The 23,075-nt window shown below is 31.8% G+C and overlaps 1 protein-coding gene across 9 annotated transcripts in view; it reads right to left on the reverse strand.

The window, feature by feature from the left end:
• PABPC4L (poly(A) binding protein cytoplasmic 4 like) overlaps positions 1 to 23,075 on the reverse strand; it is a 253,443-nt gene that overhangs the window by 144,727 nt on the left and 85,641 nt on the right. For 7 of the 9 annotated variants that reach the window (XR_001741133.2, XR_007096357.1, XR_001741139.2 and 4 more), the window contains one exon: positions 10,184 to 10,332. The gene's annotated coding sequence lies outside the window, so the exon portion shown is untranslated. Of the gene's footprint in view, positions 1 to 1,651; positions 2,057 to 2,246; positions 4,494 to 10,183; positions 10,333 to 23,075 lie in introns of those variants that run through there. The other 2 variants (XR_001741138.2, XR_001741137.2) reach the window with 2 other exon arrangements.

Consider the following 23,075-nt stretch of genomic DNA (forward strand, 5'->3'; position numbering starts at 1 on the left):
CTAACATTAATTTTTCATTTATTATTATTTCCTTCTTTGTGCTTTCTTTTAATTTATCATTTTGCTTTATTTCTGGTTTTTGAGCTGAAAATTTGACACATTCATTTTCATTCTTTCATTTTTAGTGACAAAAGTACTTAGAGCAATACATTATCCTCTCCTTTGATCAGTTTTAAATCTCATAAATTGTATTTTTTTTATTCTGGTATGTGCTTTTTCCTTTTCATCCAAGAGTTGTTTAACATAATCCATTTCTATACTTGACATGGTTTGTTCTAATTGTTATTCCTTCATTCTTTATCTGTATTTTATAGTTTATAGTCTTCGTAGTGATACATTAAAGTCATCAAAGACCAGGACCCTTTATTTCTTTTCTTTTCTTTCTCTTTTTTTTTTTTCTTTTTGAGACCAAGTCTCACTGTGTTGCCCAAGCTGGAGTGCAGTGGCACTTCATTTCTAATCATGTATGAGACCACCATCAGGGTCAGAGGAAATTCAAATAGCTTTTCCTCATAAAGTAATTTTGATTTATTACAATGATTAAATTCATGGCTTGCTTTGGAAGGGAGTCTTTTTTATATCAGCTAGTCATTTGGGTCTAATTTCTTTTTTCTGTTTATATTGTTCTTCTATTTGAAAGATGTATTAATACCTGCTATTTTGAAAGCCTCAGAAGCAGTTCCCAGCCTATATTTATATTTGTATATTTATGTATTTACATTTTACAATATAATGTGTATTTATGTATTTGTAATATATATTTATATTTTTAAAAATTTCTTGCTGCCATAGCCCAGGGATTTAAACTCTTTCCTTTCAACTTTCAATCAGCCATGATGCATGCCATGTATGAGAAGTCCATCTCTAAAGAAAAGCTTCTTTTTCTCTTCAGAGAGAAGTTCACTAGTAGTTTTAATTTCAGTGATTTTACTGGTAATTATTTTGGGTAACATAAATTATAAAATAACAAACCTTAATGTGTTACGAAGCTTGATGAAATGTTACAAATATTGTTTCTCTATTTTTTCATATCTATAGTCCTTAATTTTTTCCATATTTTTATTGAAAGGTATCCTCAACCAAGATAGCCATTCACTTACAGCTGCCCCGCCCCATGCAGCAATAGAGGATTTGTTATTATAAAACATACAGACCCTAACTCCTAAAGTATAAAACAAGTTATGATACTAAAACTCTATGTCTACCTAGGTCTATAAAGACACTTTAGCTGTAGTTATATACTCTATATCATTTTTTGTGTAGTAAACTCACTTAAAATTCCAAGTAATATAGCATAGCAATTGAAAGTATAGAACACTTCTGATGAAGTTATGGTTTAAAATTAGTTTAATAACATTAACTTTTTTTCAGCTATAGAAACATTTCATATAGTTTTCTTAACATAAGGATTAAATAAGTCTAATTTATGCTTGTAATAACAGATTTTTCCATCATTTGCCAAGTTACTGAAAAATATGTTTAAATCACTAAAAACATTCATACCAGACATTTAACAAATAAATTATAATTAACAAAATAATATTAAAGGTAGCATTTTTCTTTTAAAATAGTGTTACCCATAAATTAAACTGGCTGATTCTGAAATAGTATTCAAGAAGGTAAGTGATTCTGTTAATTTCATTAGAAAAATGTGAAATATAAATTGCTTATGAGAAAAATAATACACTGTAATTTTTCTTCTGTATGTTCTTTTATTTCCCAAACACAAAACTTGCTAACGTGTTTTTTAAAATGGCTAGGTAAAACAATTTAGAAAATTTTATATGAAAAACAAAGTTAGTGTTTGCATTAGAATCATCATTATTTAAGAAAAGTCCATTAAAATTCAGTCTCTTATAGTTTATTATTTCAAGGTAGTACTTCTTTTACAGAACAGATTGTTCTTATAATGTTTCCATATTCTTGGTAAATTTTTTTTAATAAACATGCTTTTACTTCTTTATCTCCTTTGCCTAATTACTTTCTGATTTTTAAGAGATCTGTAATATAGAGCTTGAAAATATACTCCAGATGTCTTCCATCTGATGGTATTGTTCTGAAGTACAAAAGACAACAATTCTCTGTTATCTTTCAAAAATATTTGCCATAGAGCAGTATTATAAAATGAAATATTCACTCTAGTGTGATACAATAGCTATATATGGAAAAGAATGTTAAAATACTCACAAATAACATTTAAACAAATGCATGTTTATATTTGTATGTATGTATGCATTTATTTCTATGGTCATGTTAAACTTTTTTTGCACAAATAACATGAAAATAAATTAGTGATATTCAGAAAATAGATGGAATATTAAATAGACAAACGCCAATCCATATATTCTTTATACTTACTAGTAGTGATCACATATTGCATCCTTGGCCTAATATCTTTAATATTCAAATCTGCAACTTCTAAGTCAGGCAGTAGTTTTACATCATCTTGGTAAATTTTCACTTTTCATAAGCCCTTCAATGTTAATTTTATCTTAGTTGCTTTATCTTGCTATATGATAGGTTCAGTAAATCCTTATCACTTCTCCTTCAGCTACCTTGGCTTCCTTGCACTTTAGTACCTATACACATTCCTATCTTAAGGTTTTCCATTTGCTCTTTAGGGGAACATTTTCCCCCCAGGTACATCCTTGGCCAGCTCTCAAACTTCATGCAGGACTTTGCTCAAAAGTTGCACCCTGCACAGAGAACTTCCAGATCACTCTGGCCAAAACAGCACTCCTAGTCACTCCCTACTCTTTTATTCTGCTTACTTTACTTCAATATCATTGATCCCCAATTGACATTATTTCTCAATGTTTATTATTAACCCCATGAGAATGTAAGCTTCATTGCTTCATGAGGCCAGGGATTTTGTTAGTTTTGTTTATGACTGTATCACCAGGTCTTAAAGCTTTACTTGGCACACTATCAGTGTTCAATGCATTTTAAATAAATAGGTGTGGTACTCATTTTTTATTTATTTTATTGCCATTCTGGGTTGCAAAGAAAATGGAATAGTTTGAAGAAATGTCGGTTTTTTTCAAAGTAAGAAGATGAAAGTGATGGGACTGAAGGGTAAACACACAGTAGATAAATCACAAAGATGATTGTGAGGGCACAATACAGGTTTTATATGGAAGTATGAAAATACTTTTACTTAGTAGAACTTTTGCTTTGATAAATTACTAGTTGTGCCTTAAGATCAACATAGGCTTAAATTTTAAACTTTCAATTAAAGATAAGGAAACAAAAGGGTCAAACTACAGTGGGCAAAATATTCATAAAAATATTGGAAGCCTACAAGTTTTTTGTACATATTGTATACCTCATGTAATTTTCAGATAATAAACTTCATTCTGGGTATTGCATATTTACAATGGCTTAAGTCAGGAAATTAGGGGAACAAAGACAATGTCTACTATCTTCTAAAATAATATTTTTATCAACTCTATAAAGATATTTGCATGTTTCCCATGAAATATTAGTGTGCCTTTTGGTAAACATTTCAAACATTCTACCTAGCCTCAGGAAAACAGAGTTTGTTAGAAACTAAAGAAATAAATGTCCAGTCAATAGAAAATATCATGAAAATATGTTATTGTCAAATTTGTGCTTACATTTTTAATAACGTTTTAAATCACATTTGGTGTCCAGTAACTTTTAGTGAAGCTCTATATTCTTATGCAGATTATGTAAAAATGCTACTTGCATAACATTCTGGGAAGAAGACTTAAAAAGTGTTATCTTCTAAAGATCATTTAAATATAAGCCTATGGAGCAATTATCCATGGATGCTTAAAACATCAGATGGTGGGAAAATCACCTCATGTTGTTCAATGGGAACAATCTGGAGGCAAGTAGTGTGTAATTGTTTTATTACTTTTGGTTGAGGAGAAAATGCTCATCAGAATTTGATTACCTGCCCTAGCCTATACAGGCAGTTATCAAGGAAAAAATATACACCTTGGCAAATTTTGCCTATTAGTTAAAGAAGTGCTTATGTTCAGTTTGTGTGTGATGTTTGAAGACAATTTAAAATTAGAATCTTAGAGACTCTTGACATACTTTTTAAGATTCAAAGATTATATGAAAGAAGGAGACTCAAAAGAAATTCATGTTACATCCACTAAACAGCTGAACATCAGACTTGAGAAAGAAAAAAAGAATTTTTATTCTCAAGCTGCTATGTCTTTGAAATAACTTACAAACACCAAATGGAAATCATTTTTGCCATATTTTACCCTTCGCAGACCAATCAACTACCTCAGAATAGACAAAGAAAAAGAGAGAAACAGAGAGAGAGAGACAGAGAAACAAAACCCTGATGTTATACTCATAATTCACTTTGGATTCTAGTTCTGGAACCAGTACCCCTAAATGAATCTAGAATGACTGTGCAAACACATGCTCAGGATTGGAATAGGTCACAACAACATTTTGTTCATTCATCAAATGCTTGAGTGCCTGTCAGGTGTCTGGCATCCTTCTCAGACCTGTGGATACAGCAGAGGACAAAACAAATCACGACTCGACTCTAACAAAACTTACATTCTAAAAGTTTTTTGTGCTCCACTTTACTCAAACCACCAACCAGTGAATACTTCTGTTTTATTTGTATGTCAGCTTCTGCAACCTCATGATTTATCTTATTTTCACTTGATGCTGTTTTTACTTTCTGTGCCATTGTTCCTAATTGAGAAACTTGTTTGGACTTACTCCTGCGGTTTTGTCATTAGAAATCTTGATAACAGGCAGTAGCTAGACCTACTTCTTGTTTATCCTGATAGGGAAAGGTTCAGAAATGCATTTAATTATATTAAATGAGATCTTATTCATTTCTGATTCCTCTTTAAGACCTGAAAAAAATATAGGTATTCATTAAACTCTGAGGCTGTTAATACTTATAGCAGTCTTACATATTTCATACTATTTATAAGAGCAATTGAAGAAAAGCAATTGGTTAGGACAGGAGGCTAAGAGATTTGCCTTTGACTTGAACTGTATTTGTCTACTGTCAAGTCAATATGCATGGACATAGCGCTAGCACTCCTTTATATGAATATAGTGTAATATTTATTACACAAATTTATAGACAGGCATAAAATTAGTATGATTTGCAGATTTACAAAAAATATGATTTTCCTCTGTAAATGGGGGTAAGAGTTGTTTGCTAGACATCATACTCTATACTATATACCTGGGAGTAATCTGTTTCTTTTGTTTGTTTGTTTTTTTATTTTTTATTTTTATTGTTTTACTTTACCTATGATCTGTGATGGGGAAGACATCATCAATATTGGTGGTAAAGAGGGAGAAATTAAGATTTTGGTTAAATTTTCAACTTGTTATATTTGAGTTACTGATTTAGAATTCCAAATGGAATTGTCAAGCATTTAGTTATATATCCAAATCTAATAAGAGATGACCAGGTTTTAGATAACCTAAAGTTAATGGGGTCTTATGAACATATAGTTGGTATGTAAGCTTATGAAAGAGGATCACAAAGGAGAAAATGCAGATAGAAATGCTAGTCAGACTACCCAATGATTTAGATGATGGGAAACTAAAGAGAAACTAGCAAATGGAGAATGATAATAAAAAATGGTTACTGTGATAAGAGTATCATCTACTAGGAGGTTGTGATATCCTTAAAGCCAAGTGAAGATTTTGTTTCGAGAAGGAATAGTAAGTCAAATACTAATAGAGGTAAGATGAGAACTGAGAACTGACTGTCGGAGTTCAGTACGTGGAGCTTTTTGATAACCTTGCCAAGAATATTGACTTATTTCTAGGAATAAAAGCCTGATTCAAGTGGAGTTTAGAAAGAAGAAAGGGAATGTTGAAGCCAGCAAGTACAGACAACTCTTTCTAGAAGGTTTCAGTAGAGAGTGTTTGTGAGAAACAGGAATCCATTTATTCACAATCCGATTTTACTCTTCAAATGGGAGTTAATAAGAGTAGTTTCCTGGAAATAATATTCCGTAATATTTTAAAATATACGTGGTGATAATACTCTCCAATGTTTTTGCTGTGGAATTCACTCATCTTTTATTATAGATTAAAATTATCTTTTTCTAAAACAAATATGACTCTTTTATATAAGTTTTATGTTAAGTGCATCATTCAAAGCCAGATAGACTATTGTCTCCAAAAATCACTAAGTTTTATAACTGCAGGCTAAGCATGTACATCTTGGAATAAATATACTTAACCTTTATATGCTTCATTTTCCTCATTTACAAAAAAACTGCTGACGAAATTACTTGCACAAAACTAGTTTGTAAATATCAGTTATTTGGCCTCCGTACAATCTTGCTAGAATTCCAGATGATACAAAAACATATTTTTTCTTCTGCTACTTTTTATTTCCAATGAATTCTGTAATGCTTATTTTGAAAGAAGAGTTTTCCATTAAAAACTTTTAAAAAACAATTACAAAATGGGGATTTCAATTTCTAAGTCAACTCTGCAATTGTAAAGGAGTGGGATTTGGAAATAAGCTTGACATTCAAACCTCATAGTATTAGTTCCATTGCTGCTTACTACAGGGATGTAATCCTCACAAAAATGCTATTTGATCTCAGGGAGGGGAAAAAAAGATAATGGATTGACCCTCCACACGAAACCGTAAAAGAGTGTTCTGGGTTGCTGCCATTCAAATGAATAGAAACCGGCAGCAATTCTAACACCTATCCAGTTTCAATTTTGTAACATCTGCAGGCATCATTCTGGAAATGGTAAACATTTTAATGGTCAGACCCTGTCCACTTATGCATTACTATTTCCAGTATTATCCCCCATTTCTATCTGGAAACAGAAACTAAAATGTGACAGATTGCTGTGAATGAAATGAATGAATGAAATGAATGGAGATGCCGCATCAGCAGCGGCAAACTCGCTCCTTTCCCATTCTTTTGTTGTCCTTCAGAGATCTCCCTTATTGCTTTGGAAAATTCAAGAGTCAGACACTACATTTTAATAATGTGGCTTGAACTCCAAGCATCAGCACATGAATTGATTTAAGAGCATCGAACAACTTTATAATTGCAGTCGATCTCTGCCTTTTAAATACAAATTCATTCTGATTGAATTAAGATTGAAGCTGCACCTTTTTTGTAAATTGAATTTTTATAAATATAAAAACTTTAAAGTGTCTAGTATACACCCATTGAAATTCAGAAACTAAACAACACATTACTTGCTTTATATAAATTTAAGATTCAATGAACTAAAACCCTTGCATTTTCCTTGAATCCCTTGTATTAAAAAAATACGTTCATTTCACTCATTTGGTAACCATACCTAGAAGTGTCATATTTGGAAGATGATTCAATGCGTGTGCTGAGTGCATGAATACAATAATGCAACCTGGGTGCACACGCACATATTCTGTTTTTGTAAAAGTCTAAGGAAAAGAAACATTTTTTACTACCTCTCTATGTACCCTCAAACATACACCGAATTGTATTCTGGGTTATATAGTACTAGGAAACTTGCTGAAACATATCATCTCACTTGGTTGATCAATTAAAGGTGAACCATTACTGCAAAACAAAGCCAAATGTGACACCACTTATATGTAAATTACAGTTCAAATTTTTCTCTGAAAGATATCCCTTTGCAATTTTAGAAAAAGACAATGTGCGAGAGATCTAAATCATATTAAGTATTATTTAAGGAAGATAAAACCTTATAATAGAGCTTTAATGGAGAATTTATTTATAGCCAAAATAAAGATATAAAATAATAATTTTAGTGATGTATTTTCTTTCATTTGCCTTTTATCTTCTAAGGAAAATACATATTTCCCATCAAAAACAAATGTATTAGAAGAAAACATTAGAAAATTAATAGCATCTGACATATTGGATCAGCTTGGCAATCTATATTTTGCAACTCTAAAGGCTTAAATAATAATTACATAACAGGCTTTATAGTATGATTGGTAAAGTTGCTAGCTGTAGTTGAATTTTCCTGTTTGTTTTTAAATATATTTTTGTATTAAAAGCATTAGTTATCCAGATACAAAGATGGAGGCGCATTTAACTTAAATGAGGAATACATGCCTCTATTGACTGGTTATCAGTATTTGCATTTTGAAGTTTTCCATTAAAGTAAACTTTAATAATATCAGAGAATACTCAGATTTGATCTTACTAATAATTTTAATTTAAGCAATTAACACAGTGAAAGTCAGAATGTTTTATTTTGCATGTGATAAACTTGCCCAAAATTCTGCTTTCCAACATAAATTCTGATGCACGAAAGATGTTTTACTTGTGAGAAGTTTTTTCCTTGGATTAATTTGAAGTTGTCATGGGTATTTTACTTGGATAGGAAAAGTTAGAAAATATACAGAAAAAAAAAAGAATCTTATTTCTCCAAAGAAACCTCTCATGAAGCCATAAATTGTTTATTTCTATTTATAGGCAACATTTTTCTTTTTATACAGCTGTGGGAATTAACAACCAACCAAGTCAGGGAAAGGAAAAACAACAGTAGCCTCTTTCGTGACACCTTTCAGTCATTTGAGTATTTAGATTGATTGGTGGAACTACAATAGTGTTATTTATTCAGTGTGTGCGTGGATAAAGCATGAGACAAGGCCATACATCCTGTCCTAAATAAATATATGGTAAGGCATCTATCATAGCTAAAAATAGTGTATCCCTTCAATTCCCATCTGATTTTAAGTTATATACAAAATAGCATATGTTTCATTCAACCCATGCTTTAACTTAGAATATGTCACCATATTACTATCCAGACTAGCTTTGTCTCATTTTATAGAATTAAAAATATTCCACTTCTCCAGAGCTGTTTGAATTCTTGTCCAATATGATTCAGTCCATACAAATCTAATTTCACTTGAAAAGTTTTATTGTTCCTGCAAATACTAAGTAATGCCATTCCTCTCATTTAAAAATAACCCTGAACTCTCCAGACCTCTATACATAAATTGACAAACACTATGTTAACTAAGTAGTTAAACAAAATAATTTCTATGCCAGTCAATAGTCTCCAAGAATACTGCGTGATTTCCTGCAAAATACATGATTTTACATAGGGAGTAAAATGACCTTCAAGATAAATAAAATGATATAATAATGTTATAAGTTTCTATCTTAACTGAGCTCATAAAAGTGCTATGAAACTAAAAACTGATTTATGGAGAAGAAATTTTTACCTTGTCTGACTATAAGAATCACCTAGGACATTAAAAAAAAATGTTGATGTTCCTGATACCCCAGCACAACTTAGTCAGAATCTCTGGATGTATAGCATGAGAATTATAATGTTTAAAAAGTTTCTCAGGTAATTCTAATGTCCAGTCAACTTTGGAAAACTCCGCCTCAAAGGAAGAGTAATGATTTTGATTTTCCACTCTGGGCATCACTTATATAAGAGGTTTGGTTCAACAGCCAATCATGGAACAACTCAATAAGTTAAACCACAGCCAATCACGGAAGAAGTCAATCAGCTAAACGTTTGCTGAAGTTTTAAGTGATCTATTTCTCATATTATAGAATATCCAAATAATTTAATGATATCAAAATGTAAACCAAATAATGATATCCATAAAAAGGCAAAAGGCAGAATTTGAACTTAATAAATGTTATTTTATATAATTTCTATATATATTTAAGTCTAAATATGTTTATAAGTACATGTAAAATGGTCTCTATTTTTCTACCTATATGGATGTATAATCCATCTATTTCTATATAGCTATATGATAGTGCATAGAGAATATATAAAATATTTTTGGAAACATTAAAATATTATATTTGTATTTCTACATTGTTTATTTCTACAATTACATGTGGAAGGTTCAGAATAACCCTTGAAAACTGCTCTCCATGTTTGACATTCCTCTAATGTGGGGCATTTGGCCAGGTGTGGGCCGATACTTAATTTCTTAAAGTTCCACAGCAAGATTAAAATATAAATCATGATTTATAATTAAATAAAATATAGGTTATTCCATATTTATATCCCTCAAAATCTCTTGGTATGTTTATTAGATAAGGTGTCACTGCACTAGTATAGCAGAGAAAGCCACAGACTTATGAAAATTAGGTTTTTCCCAAAATATTTTTTGCAGTGATGGGTAGTGTACTTGTTTTCTAAGGTTGCCAAAATATCACAGACTGGGTGGCTTAAAAAATAGAAATTTTCTTACAGTTTTGGATGCCAGAAGTTGAAGATCAAGGTGTCTGTAGATTTGGTTTCTTTCTTCTGAGGCCTCTCATCTCGTCTTGTAGATGGCCACCTTCTCACTGTCCTCACATGGTTCCCGTTTGTGCATTCTCTGTATCCTCACTTCCATTCCTTAAAAAGATGCCAATCATATTGATTAGGGCATATCCATATGACCTCACTTAAAATGTACTACCTCTTTAAAGATCACATCTTCAAATACTGTCACATTCTGATGTACTGGGTATTAGGATTTCAACTTGTGAATTTTGGGAGACAACTCAGACTGTAACAAGTAGATAAAGGAAAATAAATAATCAGATCTATTGTTCTTAACTATTCTGTTTCCATGACTAGCTTTAAGAAATATATTCCAATATCAAGAGAAGTAGTAATATAGTTCATCGATAACTGAAAAGCAGTGTGTGAATGTACATGGAGGGAGAAATCAATTAATTTTGTTAGATTCTCCAAAATGCAAACCTTGCCATTTGTTTGTCATCAGGTGCAATTTGTCTATGAGCTGCTTTTTAATCAATTTTTTCCACATAATACTGATGCCAGCTGAGTTTTTCTAGGATCACCTATAGCATTCATTTGCTTTGATTAAATGCTTTAGGTACAACTGTTTTCCACATTTGCCTAGATATTGTAGCTTCTTTAGTGACATTCAAAAATACACTAAAAGTTTTTGCTAATATTTAAAATAACTTTATGAATTCTGATTCTAGTTACCCTTCCAGTATCACCAATCAGAATCAAACAAACCGCTGGTCTCCTGAATGTGAATTTCTCTAGGCAGCCTCAAACTTCCCTGGAAGTTCTCAAGCTGGCCTTCTCAACAGAACTTTCTTTCTGAGCAAGCATCATCAGAGAGTGCTGATCTTCAAGAAGTACCTCCACTTGTTCCTTTCCTTTCCACCTGACCATTATCAGTTGAACAAAGGCAGTGACTCCTTGGCAGTCATCTAGGTGTTCTTTCTTGAGCAGCAAAGTTGGTGTAATCTAATAGCTTGTTAGATATTTGGAATCTCAGGTCCCATCCACCACCTACTACATACAGCAGAATCCTCATTTTGAAAGGACTCTAAGGTGACCCATATGCCATATAAGCTTGGAAAGCTCTGATCTTTGAGAAAATACGTTTCTCCGAAGCTCAGCACCTGTTTGAGGCATCTCTCCCAACTTGGTTGGTTAAACACCCTAGGTACCTGCCTAGTTATATTTGTGCTCACAGGCCAAAATATGGTGCCTCTTCCAAATTTCCAGTTCTCAAATATTTGTAAATATTTTCACGTCCCTTTAGTTATCCTTTTCTCAGGTCAGCTTCTTTAGTTCCTTCAACCATCTCTCATATAATGGGTTTCAGCTATCTTCAGACTTCAGCCATTTTCCTCAACATGATTTCAAATAAGTCAACATCTATGGCAAACTGCAAAATACCTACTGCACAATTATCTACACAAAAATATTTGTTATACAGAAGCAAATACTGAGAGGTAAATGTAAATGGGAGACAGGCATGACCAATTACACATTACCGGTGTGCTCTCATGTCTTAATAAAGTTGAGATATCAATTTGATTTTTAGCTTTTTTCCAAGAAGTGCTGCCCAACAAGATGCAGAATGATAAATGTTGACCTCTTAAAACCACTAAGGTATAAAGTGCAACAAAAATTGTTAATACAACTATGTGATTAAGTGTGTCTCTGTCAATGAATCACAGTGACAGGAGTATTCCAGAGTTTGCCTGCAGGAGTGAAAAATGAGGTCGTTAGTGAAAATCAAATGCAAATATCATCAGATTCTGGAACATTTCTCTTTACATATTAAAAAAAGATATCTCCAACTTACAGTGACGTACACACTTCAATTTAAAAATATATCTCTGTGGAATATAAAGTTTTTAAACAAAAATAGCCCAATATTTGGAATTCTGAAACTGATTTTGTTTAAACATTTGAAACATGCATGGTTATATCACAAAACAAGTGAAAACTATCCTAAAATTTAAAAATAATAGGTGTATTAATATTAAAATTTCCTGTTATGTATTTTCTATATATGTGGTTGATTTACTTCTAAGAGGCCAATAAAACTGAAATATTGCTGATTCTAAGGATGCCTCCATTTTTTAGAATGTTGACTTTTTATAAATGGAAAAGCTTTGGGTATTAAAAATATAATTTACATTTTAAAATATTTATCTAAGTTTTCTTTACATACAGACATACAAATCTTAAAAACAAAATAGGAAAAGTGTGTTGTTTGGTTTTAGAATATGCTTGGATTTCATCACTAGCGAAGTACAGAGAAAGGAAAATGTTGAACACATCTTATGGATAAAAATATGCAATGAATCAAAACTAGAAAGGTGGCTGTAGAAAGTTTTTTAGTGGGCTTTATTCTCTAATCAATTGTGAGTCATAAAAGCTTACTGAGAAGAAAATTATGTGATTCATGTTTTGAAAAGTTAACTTTGGAGGAGGAGATGAGAAAGCTTTTAAATAATTCAGTCAAGGAGACTTGTTAAAAGACTGCTGTAATAATCCAGAAGAAAACAATTTACTTTTCTTTATAGTTCCTGCTTATAAATTTTTCTAGATAGTGATTCAATTACTCTTTAAAGTCATGTTACGCTTATCCTGTTGCTTCTTTAGATGAATTCCTTAGCTAACTCATTGCCCCTGTTTTATTATGGTCAATATTAATTCATAGCCTGGTACCAAGCTCTCTACTGAAAGCCGTGATTTGTCAACCTGTAATTCCAGATTAAGTTTAATTTTCTTTAAAAATTATTGTGCTTTGATATAATTCTTACTCACTTACCCTGACTATCATGCTCCTGGTGCTTTCCCAATTGCCTGATAATTGAATATTTCAGTAAAAAGATTTACCTACAGTTACACAAAATTCATAAATACATAAGAATGATTTAGGGAAATAATTTAGAAAAATATTTGTATAGAATTAGTCTAATTAATGAAACTCAAATCAATTTTCAAAAGGAAAAAGTGAAGAAAACCATCTCATTCATTCATATGCTAAGAAAGAAAGAAAGAGAAAGAAAGAAAAATAGAAGTGTAAGAAGCAATAAAAAGAAATGTAACAGATCAGAGGAACAAAAAGATAATGATATAATCATTTGCTTCATGGAATTTAACAATTAGTGAGACAGAAAAATATGAAAATAGGTTACTTTTAAATTTAGTGACTATATCAATGGAAACTAATAGCCATAGGTAATTAATAGCAGTAATCAATAGAAAAAATTGGAAAGGAACTTAGCGAAGACTAAGGGATGAGAAAGTACATTATGGAAGATTTCTAAGGGTGGTAATGTGATGAGTCGCATGCACTGAAAAGAAATTTATGTCATGTATTTTCCAGTCTGATTCTTTCTGATACTCAAAAAAATGCAGGCTTGATTTATTGATTTGGGTAGGAGGTTGCATCCTTTCTCTTAAACTATCATCATAGGACTTTTCCTATGATGGGGCACTAATCAGGGGCCATTTTTAACCTATTTATATCATGAGCATACAGAGCATTGGCAAAGATTTAACAATGCTTCTTTCAAGTTTAAGTAAGCAGTTAGTATACTAAACTAAGTGGAGAATTTACCTAGCGAGGAATCTATCATTTAAATAATAATAATATATTGATTTTGTGACTTAAATTTTTTAGGGCACATTAAAATACTGTACCATTTTTGAGCTTCATTGCAGTCTTCTAAATTTTTTTTTCCTTTTTGTTTCACAGAGCTAAAACGATTTACCTACAGTTACACAAAATTCATAAATACATAAGAATTATTTAGGGAAATAATTTAGAAAAATCATTTTATCATTATTCTTCATCTATAAAATAGAGTAGATAGATAATTCCTCTCTAAGGATACTTCCAAGCCTAGAATACTATGATTAATATTTTAATATTTTCTTCACTTATATAATAATTCTAATATTACATTTACCTTATTAATTTGCTTAACAAACAGTTTTATTCATAGTTAATGAAATATCACTGTTTAATTTAGTTAAAACGTGTTTACTTAAAGGAAGTAATGAAAACTTGTCTATAAAATTCCAGGTAAAAACCAATGTACTGTATACATTAAAGTGTGAGTATTGCTCCTATTTGGAACAGGATGCAAGCTTAAGATCATTAAATTCAGCGAGCATCTTCTATTTGCCAAGTATTTTTATACATTGTTTTGTTGCAACAGCCTTTTTTGGTAGATAGAACCTATCTAACTTCTGGTATGTAGAAACAGAACATTTAATTAATCAATAATTTACCCAAGATAGATTGGTTTATAAACAGCATAGTTTGAATTTAAATATCTCTTTATTACAAGCTCATAATTTGAGACACTATTATGACTTCTCAATTCCGTGTGTTCAATTAGTAAGATTTGTTACTTCAGCTTGTTTTAAATATTCTTAACATTAAATATTAAATTATTTCCTTCTAGATATAACACCTAATGCTTTTTAAATTCTATGTTGACCCAAAGACATATATTTTATTCTATTCATTTTTGAACTCACACTTTTACAGTAGAAGAGATATGACATGGAAATTGATTATATTAAAGCTTAAGAGACAAATTTAGATGTTTTAAATAAAAAAGACCATTTACTATATACTTATAGAAATTTGAAGTCCATTAAAAAGTAAATAATAATTTAATTATATTCAGAAAGATGGTCTAACAATGTTACTACTTATATTTTCTGATATCCCTTATTTATAAAATACAGAAAAAGGTACATATGCACATGTACACATATATACTGACATACACAGCCCTAGTCTCATAATTGTGATAACATATTATGGCTCTGATAAAAATGTTCCATACTTCAATTAACTAAAATTATGTGACAAAGTCAAATTTAGACTAGTGTTACTTCTAATTTTGTGTTGTATTGAGTCATGTTTTAAGAAAATTGAAAAGCTTTTGCTCTTTTATTTATGTTTGACACTGGCAAAAGCCTCTTCTCAAATGTAATGAAAATGATAACCTAATAAAATTAAACAGAAAATTGAACCCTTGGGTCTGACATTACTTACACTTATCTCCAGCATAGCTGGCATCTGACCAATTCAAGAATAAAAATGAAGGACTGAAGAATCCACAACTGATATTTATGAGTATATTTAATAATTCCCTTCAAGAGCATATAAACTTAGGCATTAGACAAATTTGTGCTTTGTTTCTTGAATCTTGATTTTTACAGGTTATGATCTTAATTATGATTTCCATGTGTGAATTTTGATGTTCATTGACTCTTCCTTGGTTTCAGAGGTTTCTGGGTCTCCTCAGTTCTCTAGTGCAAAATATATAACCTAGACCCTGATTTTTTTCTTGATTTGGAGATGGTGTTCTCACTCTGTATCTATAAAAACAGACCATTTTGACATGACCAGTTTTGTACAAATATAAAGACAGTAAGGAGGACATTTTTATATAGGTATTTATATACAACATTTTAATTGCCTAATAATGTGTTCAGAAGAAATCCTTGACTGACTTCCAACCCATTTCTGAACTTTACCCCATGGACATTTTCTTATTTAAAAAGTATCAAGTTTGATAAATAAACATTCATGCCAGGTGAACAGTTCAACATATTGAGGTGTACCAAAATCAAAAAACTTTATGTAACCCTAAACAATTATTTTTAAAAGATGTATATTAGTTGATTTGTAAGGTTTGTAATGCTTTTCATATGGAAATATCAAGGTAGAAAAGCAAGATGCAAAAAAGTATGTATCATAAGATTTTCTTTAAACACAAATTACAATATTCATATATGTATACTTGTGTATATGCAGAATGTACATCTTTATGTATACATAAATATATACATATTTTTAAAATGTGCTTTTTTCTATTAAAACATTTGGTGGCTTTTAGAGAATAATTACAGTTGAGCCTAAATTGGAGGCTTTGAATATCAAGTAAAAGCAATATTTAGAAGTATAAATGAAAGAAAAATTAAAGATAGGCTAATTGTGGAAGAAAAAAATGAGAGAAATGACAGATGAATCCAGGTGATACAATATGAAATAAGAAGAAGTGAAATAAATAAATAGAAGGGAGATACTAATTATTCTGATGAAAGAAAAATAATGTCCCTATGGATATTATTCTGGGTAGTATTTATAAGAGAACAATGCAAACTTTGAAAAATTCAAGAAATAAAGGAAAATTCTAAAGACTCCCACTGATAAAAAAATTAATAAAAAAATTAGGTTTCTTTTCACCAATACTGGAAGAAATAATACATTGATCACAAGGAGAATCTTGATATAAATTTTAAATCAAAGATTTTATTATCCAAATTTCTAGATCATTTTTTTTTTTTGAGACATCGTCTTGCTCTGTCACTCAGGCTGGCAATGGCATGGTCTCAGCTCACTGCAACCTCTGCCTTCCAGGTTCAAGCAATTCTCCTGTCTCAGCCTCCCAAGTAGCTGGGACTGCAGGCGTGTGCCACCCAGAAACTCTTGATGGTTTGGAAATTATAGAACAAATTCTGCAAACAATATTTATAGCTACTGAACAAAAAACTGCTTTGCAGAGCCCTGTACCTAACAATGCAATTATGTCATTCATTTGACAAGGTGAAATAAGTTAATGCATATGCAAAGAAACATATCACTTGCTTTTCTACCTGAGGAAAATACTTGACAAAGGATTGTAAAAAATGCAACTAAATAACCAGAAAAGAGCCTCAAGAAAGAGAGCATACAGAGGGAAAAATCAATGGTGGGCAATAAAGTAAGCATATACATAATTAAGTTAAATGAATAAAGAAAGTATACTATAATTACTGAATAACTCTTGGAAAAGAAAATGTTTGCTATACAGGAAATGGTAGTAATTACTGTCAATTAAAACTGCCATTTTAACTAAGAAAAATTTAGGATACTTTGATAGTGTAGGGTTTATTAAAAAGAAGTAAGATTATTCTAAAGGATTTTCAGAATTTTAGATGTAAAAAGAAGTTGGAAGCAGAGTATGAAAAATATTTTTTTCTTAGAAAATAGGATAAATATATGCAGGGAAAAATAAGAGAAAGTAACCATTAATAAAATAGAAAAGTACAATAAAATCCCCCAACTAATAACAGAATAAAAAGTGTATCTTTCTCTCTGTCTTGTGTGTGTGTGTGTGTGTGTGTGTGTGTGTGTGTGTGTGTGTGTGTATTCATTGGGGGATTAAAAGATTGGTTCTAGGACCTTCTGTGGATACCAAAATTCATGGATGCCCAAGTCCCTGATATAAAATTGCATAATATTTGAATATAACCTATGCTCAACCTCCTGTATATGTTAAATCATCTCTAGATTACTTATAATGCAGAATATAATGTAAATGCTATGTAAATAGTTGTTATACTGCATTGTTTAGGGAATCATGACAAGAAAAACAGTCTGTACATATTCAGTTCGAATACAATTTTATTTTTCTGATCCACAGTTGGTTGAACCCACAAATGAGGAACTCAAGGCTATATATGTATACAAATACGTATGTGTATATATGTATACACACACGTGCACAGACACACACTTGCCTTAGTCCATTTGTGCTGCTACTACAAAATATCTGAGATTGGGTTATTTTTAAAGAACAAAAATTTATTTCTCATAGTTTTGAAAGTCGAAGATCAAGGTGCCAGTAGTTTCAGTTATCTGGTAAGGGTCCATCCTCTGCTTCCAAAAAGGTGCCTTGAATACTGCATCCTCCACAGGGGAGAAATACTGTGTCTTCACAAGGCAGAAGGGGGAAAGGCAAAAGGGGCAAACTCCCTTCACTAAGTCTTCTTATAAGGGCATCTAATTTAATTCATTAGAGCAGAGCTCTGATGACTTGATCATTTCCCAAAGCTACAGTTCCCAAATTATTGCATTGGGGATTTTATTTCAACATTTTTCAAATGAATTTTGGAGAGGAAAAAAACATTCAAACGATAACAATATATAGACATAGATGCAAATATAGATATAGATGATATAGCTAGATATAGATAGATACACACACACATGTGTATGTAACTGTGACATATTAAGTGTTATCCAGAGAAACACACACACAAGCACATACACACATATAGACTTCTATTTGTTCTGTGTCTCTAGAGAACCAGGACTATTGCATTGACCACACAGAAAATCTTGATATGATATAAATTTTAAATCAAAGTGTGGAAGGGATCCAGGGGGAGGTAACTGAATCATGGGGGCCAGTCTTTCTCGTGCTATTCTCGTGATCGTTAATAAGTCTCATGAGATCCGATGGGTTTATCAGGTGTTTCTACTTTTGGTTCTCTCTCTTCTCTTGTCTGCCACCATGTGAGTCATGCTTTTCACCTTCCACCACGATTGTGAGGCCTCCCCAGCCATGTGGAACTGTAAGTCCAATAAACCTCCCTCTTTTGTAAATTGCCCAGTCTCTGGTGTGTCTTTGTCAGCAGCGTGAAAACAGACTAAGGCACAAAGATTTTATTACCCAAATTTTTATAGAATTTTGATAATTAGGAAAAGGTAACCAGAAAATCTTGATGGTTTGAGAATTATGAAACAAGGAAGATTAAAATCAAATATGAAATATCAAACTATACAAGAAGTAATAAAATTGTTATTCTATATAAAATAATGACATAGTAAAATCTGTACTCAGAAGAAAAAATACACATTGCAATATAGTCATTAGTGAAGAAGAAAGAATAAAATAGTTTAACAACAGGTCACATTATTTAGAAAACTACAAAGTAACCAAGTGAGATTAGGCTAAAAATATTATAAAGATAAAAGCTAAAATAAATGAAATGAATGAAGTAGCTATGCAAAGTATGCATACATTCAAACTCTGATTTCTGGAAAATACTAGTTAAAAATTGGTTTGCATTTCATCACATAATAGCTTCACCTTCTTTGTAAGAGTAATATATTTTACGGATGATTTTATCGTTGTCTCTTTTTTCACTTCTGTACTCCATATGTCAATATACTCTAGTAAGTTCTCTCTGATTTTAGATTATATACAACAATCTATTGACCAATTTGAAGTTATCTACTCAACTTATAATAATCCTTTCTCTTTAAGAGAGTTGTTACTGCAAAAAACAACTGGATCCATTCGGGTAATTACTATGCTCCACGTAACTATCTATCTATCTATCTATCTATCTATCTATCTATCTATCTATCTATATATCTATCTATATATCATCTATCTATCTACATCTATACATATATGCACACTAATGTATATATAATGGTTAACATATATGTATATGTATGTGCATGTATATATATGTGTGTGTGTACATATATTTGTAGGTGATTTTACTATTCTATGCTTTCTAGAATAGTATTAGAATAGTCTACTATTTTGCTATAGTATAAATCACACAAATAAGCTCAGGGAGGTTCTTTAGGAGATGTTCCAGAAGAAGGCATTGTCATAGGAGATGATAGCTCAATGCGTGTTACTGCTTCTGAAGACCTTCCCTTGGGACAAGCCATGGAGGTAGAAGACAGTGATATTGATGAACCTGACTCTGTGTAGGTCTAGGCTAATGTGTGTGTGTTTTAGTTTTTAACAAAAAAGTTTAAAAACAAAAACAAATTGAAAAATTTAAAAATGGAAAAAAATTTATAGAATAAGGATATAAAGAAAGAAATATTTTCATACATCTGTACAGTCTGATTGTGTTTTAAGCTAAGTGTTATTACAAAAGAGTCAAAAAGTTCAAAATGTTTAAGAGTTTAGAAAGTAAAAAAGTTACAGTCAGCTAACGTTAAAGTTAAATGTAGATTAAATGTGCAATGTTTATAAGGTCTATAATAGGGTACAATAATGTCCTAGACCCTCACATTCACTCACCACTCACTCACTGACTCACCAGAGAAACTTTCCATCCTGCAAGCTCCATTCGTGGTAAGTGACGTATACAGGTATACCATTATTTTTTCTTTTATATCATATTTTTACTCCACCTTTTCCATGTAACACAAACACCATTGTGTTATAACTGCCTACAGTATTTAGTACAATAACATTCTGTACAGGTTTTTAACCTAGAAACAATAGCTGTATTATAGCTTAGATGTGTAGTAGGCTATACCATCTGGTTTGTGTAAGTACACTCTATGATGTTTTCACAAGGATGAAATTGCCTAAAGTTGCATTTCTCACAACCTATCCCCACTGTTAAGAAACACATGATTGTACTGCCATACCAGATATAGTAAACATTTTTGAAAATTAGAGAAATAGAGGTAACTAATTCAGTTACAGGGGTTAAAAAAGACTACTGAGCTGATGCTTGAACTGTGTGGTTGAACGTAAGTAGCATTTAATCAGTGCAAAATGTAGGAGAAAGTCACGCTAGACAGCAGAAACCTGTATAAAGGCCCAGAGGAATGAGAGAGAAGGTCATTTTCAAGCATCTATAAATAATCAAAAGTGTAGAGAGAAGAGGGTGGCATAATGGAAAAAGGAATGTAAATAAGGCAACAAATTATACTCAACCTTTTGCTGTGTGTAATAGGAAGTCACAAATATTTAAATCTGGGTGTTATGATAAATTTTAAATTCAGCGGAACACTTTGGAAATACTTTGGAGGACAGGCAATGGGCAAGAAGCAAGTGGAAAGATAAGTGGAAGCTATTTGAAACTTCTGCTTGAAACGGGGTGAATAGTTCAGCTAAGCAGGGGGAAATGGTAATAGGAACAAGAGGGTGGATTTTGGAGTTCACCAGGAGCAGACCTCCACAAGCACAAGTTGGAGTCACTTTCAGAGACTCTCTTCACATCTGTCACACAGGTAAAAAAATGTGAAATGTGAAACATCTTAATGGTTCATTTTCAAGGCATGATAAATATAAATACTGGCAGTCAGCCTGCAGATGTAACAAACCTCATGGCTCATGCACCTAGAAGGTTACAATAAGCAAACAGAATGTAGAGGAGGGGTCAGCCCATAAAAGGGAAGAAAGTTTTGTTTTTGGGAAATCAAAACTTAAGTGGGGAAGGAGATGGGGTATAACCTTATAAGGGAGATGGTGAAACTTAGGTGACATCTGGCAAGATTGTACCTCCGTAATACTCAACCAATGAGGAACTGGGGGAAGGACTTCCATCTTAGGAGATAAATTACCTGCTGTAACTGCCCTGGGTGTGCCTGCCTACCAGACACTTGATCTTGCAAGACCACCATTAAAAGTCTCACTTCTCTTGTTCTTCGTGTCTCCAAGTCTATTCGTTGGGTTTGGACGGGTGAATGTGTCTTTCTCACAAAACCTATTCAAACTTTTATGTGAAGGCAAACTAGTTAATATGTGTCAGAGCACGTTAAAAAATTTAAAACTATAAATATCTTTGGTATTGATCTTATTAAAGTTACACCAATTAAAGTTAGAGTCATTAAAATGAATTATCATCTCTGCCTTTTATAGTACAAATAATATCCATCCTTTTGTTATCAAAGAATTGTAGTCAATTTATTTCAAACATTTTAGATAGAAGACAGTTGCCTTATACCAGAAATTGAACATTCTTTTTGATCACTCCAATTAGAGCTCCTTTCCATTATATTGGGAATGCACCACTGTGTACTCTGCTTCAACATTTCTCATTTCTGCCATCTTGCTTACATCTCCTTGCTTTCTCCACTTTCCTTTTGTATTTACTCAGCTCCTCTTTCCTTTCTTTCCCAAAGAACATGTTTTCAAAGAGATAACACAGACTATGAATAGGGATTAATACAATTCCTCAGAAATCAAAATGTATTTATTCATTGTTTACTTCACACTTAGACAATAGGCGAGGCACTGTCTATGGTCCTAGTGATCAAATAGTGATGAGGCAAACTTGGCCTCTGTCCTCATTAAGCTTATAGTCTACTATGAAAGGTAGTCAATTAAATAAGTGATGACTTGCCTGAGTGTATGTGTGTACAAGTAGAGAGAGGGGGAGAATGAGGGGAAGAAAAGGAGATAAGAAAGAATTTGAGAGGTCTTTGAATTTCTATGGAATTATAGAATAGGAACCTAATATACAGCTAGTTGTGTCAACCTTCACAGAGGAAATTATGTTTAGAAGGAGATCTAGAATAAGAGAAAAATTTATTCAGGTACCAGTGAGAGTCAGGGGGATGAAAATTTCTCCAGGATAAGGAAATAACTTTCTTGAATATCTTCATGCAGAAGAGAAAATAACTGTTTCCAAGAATAAAGAAGTACAATTTGGCTGGAAAACAGAGTGAAGACAGAAATAGTGAGGGTTTCGCTGCTGGATGTCAAAATTAGTATGGTGATACTACATGAAGAATACTGCCTGAAGAATAATATAGTGCTACCAAGATATGTTTTAAAGCAAAACTCCACCTTAAGAAAAAACATCTGAATCAGAATAATATTTTCAATTATTATCACATCTGCGAATCTAGGGAGTATTAAACTGATTGGAAGAGGAAGGAGAAAAATGGTGTTTTTATAGAATTAAGTAAATATTATTTGTATAAAAGAATATATTTGATTAGATAAAAAAGATAATGTACTGACTGAAAACTAAAATTTTAAATGCTTGCATAGTAAAAGGAACATACTGTACTTGAAAAATAAATGTATAATTGCAGCATAAGTGGATTATCTGCTCATATAGAGAGGGTCCCACTTTCAGAAATAAAGACAGAAAGAACAATTAATAGGCAGAAGCTGCATCAGGGACTGCAAAGTAGAAGCACATCATTTCCACATGGCATGACCTCCATTATCTGCAGACCTGTTATTCACTCCCAGTCAGGAAGTTAACTGGTAGTGTTCAAAGAAGTTTACAATTATAAGTCC

This window comes from Homo sapiens, chromosome 4, assembly GCF_000001405.40.
Source record: "Homo sapiens chromosome 4, GRCh38.p14 Primary Assembly".
Lineage (NCBI taxonomy): Eukaryota > Metazoa > Chordata > Mammalia > Primates > Hominidae > Homo > Homo sapiens.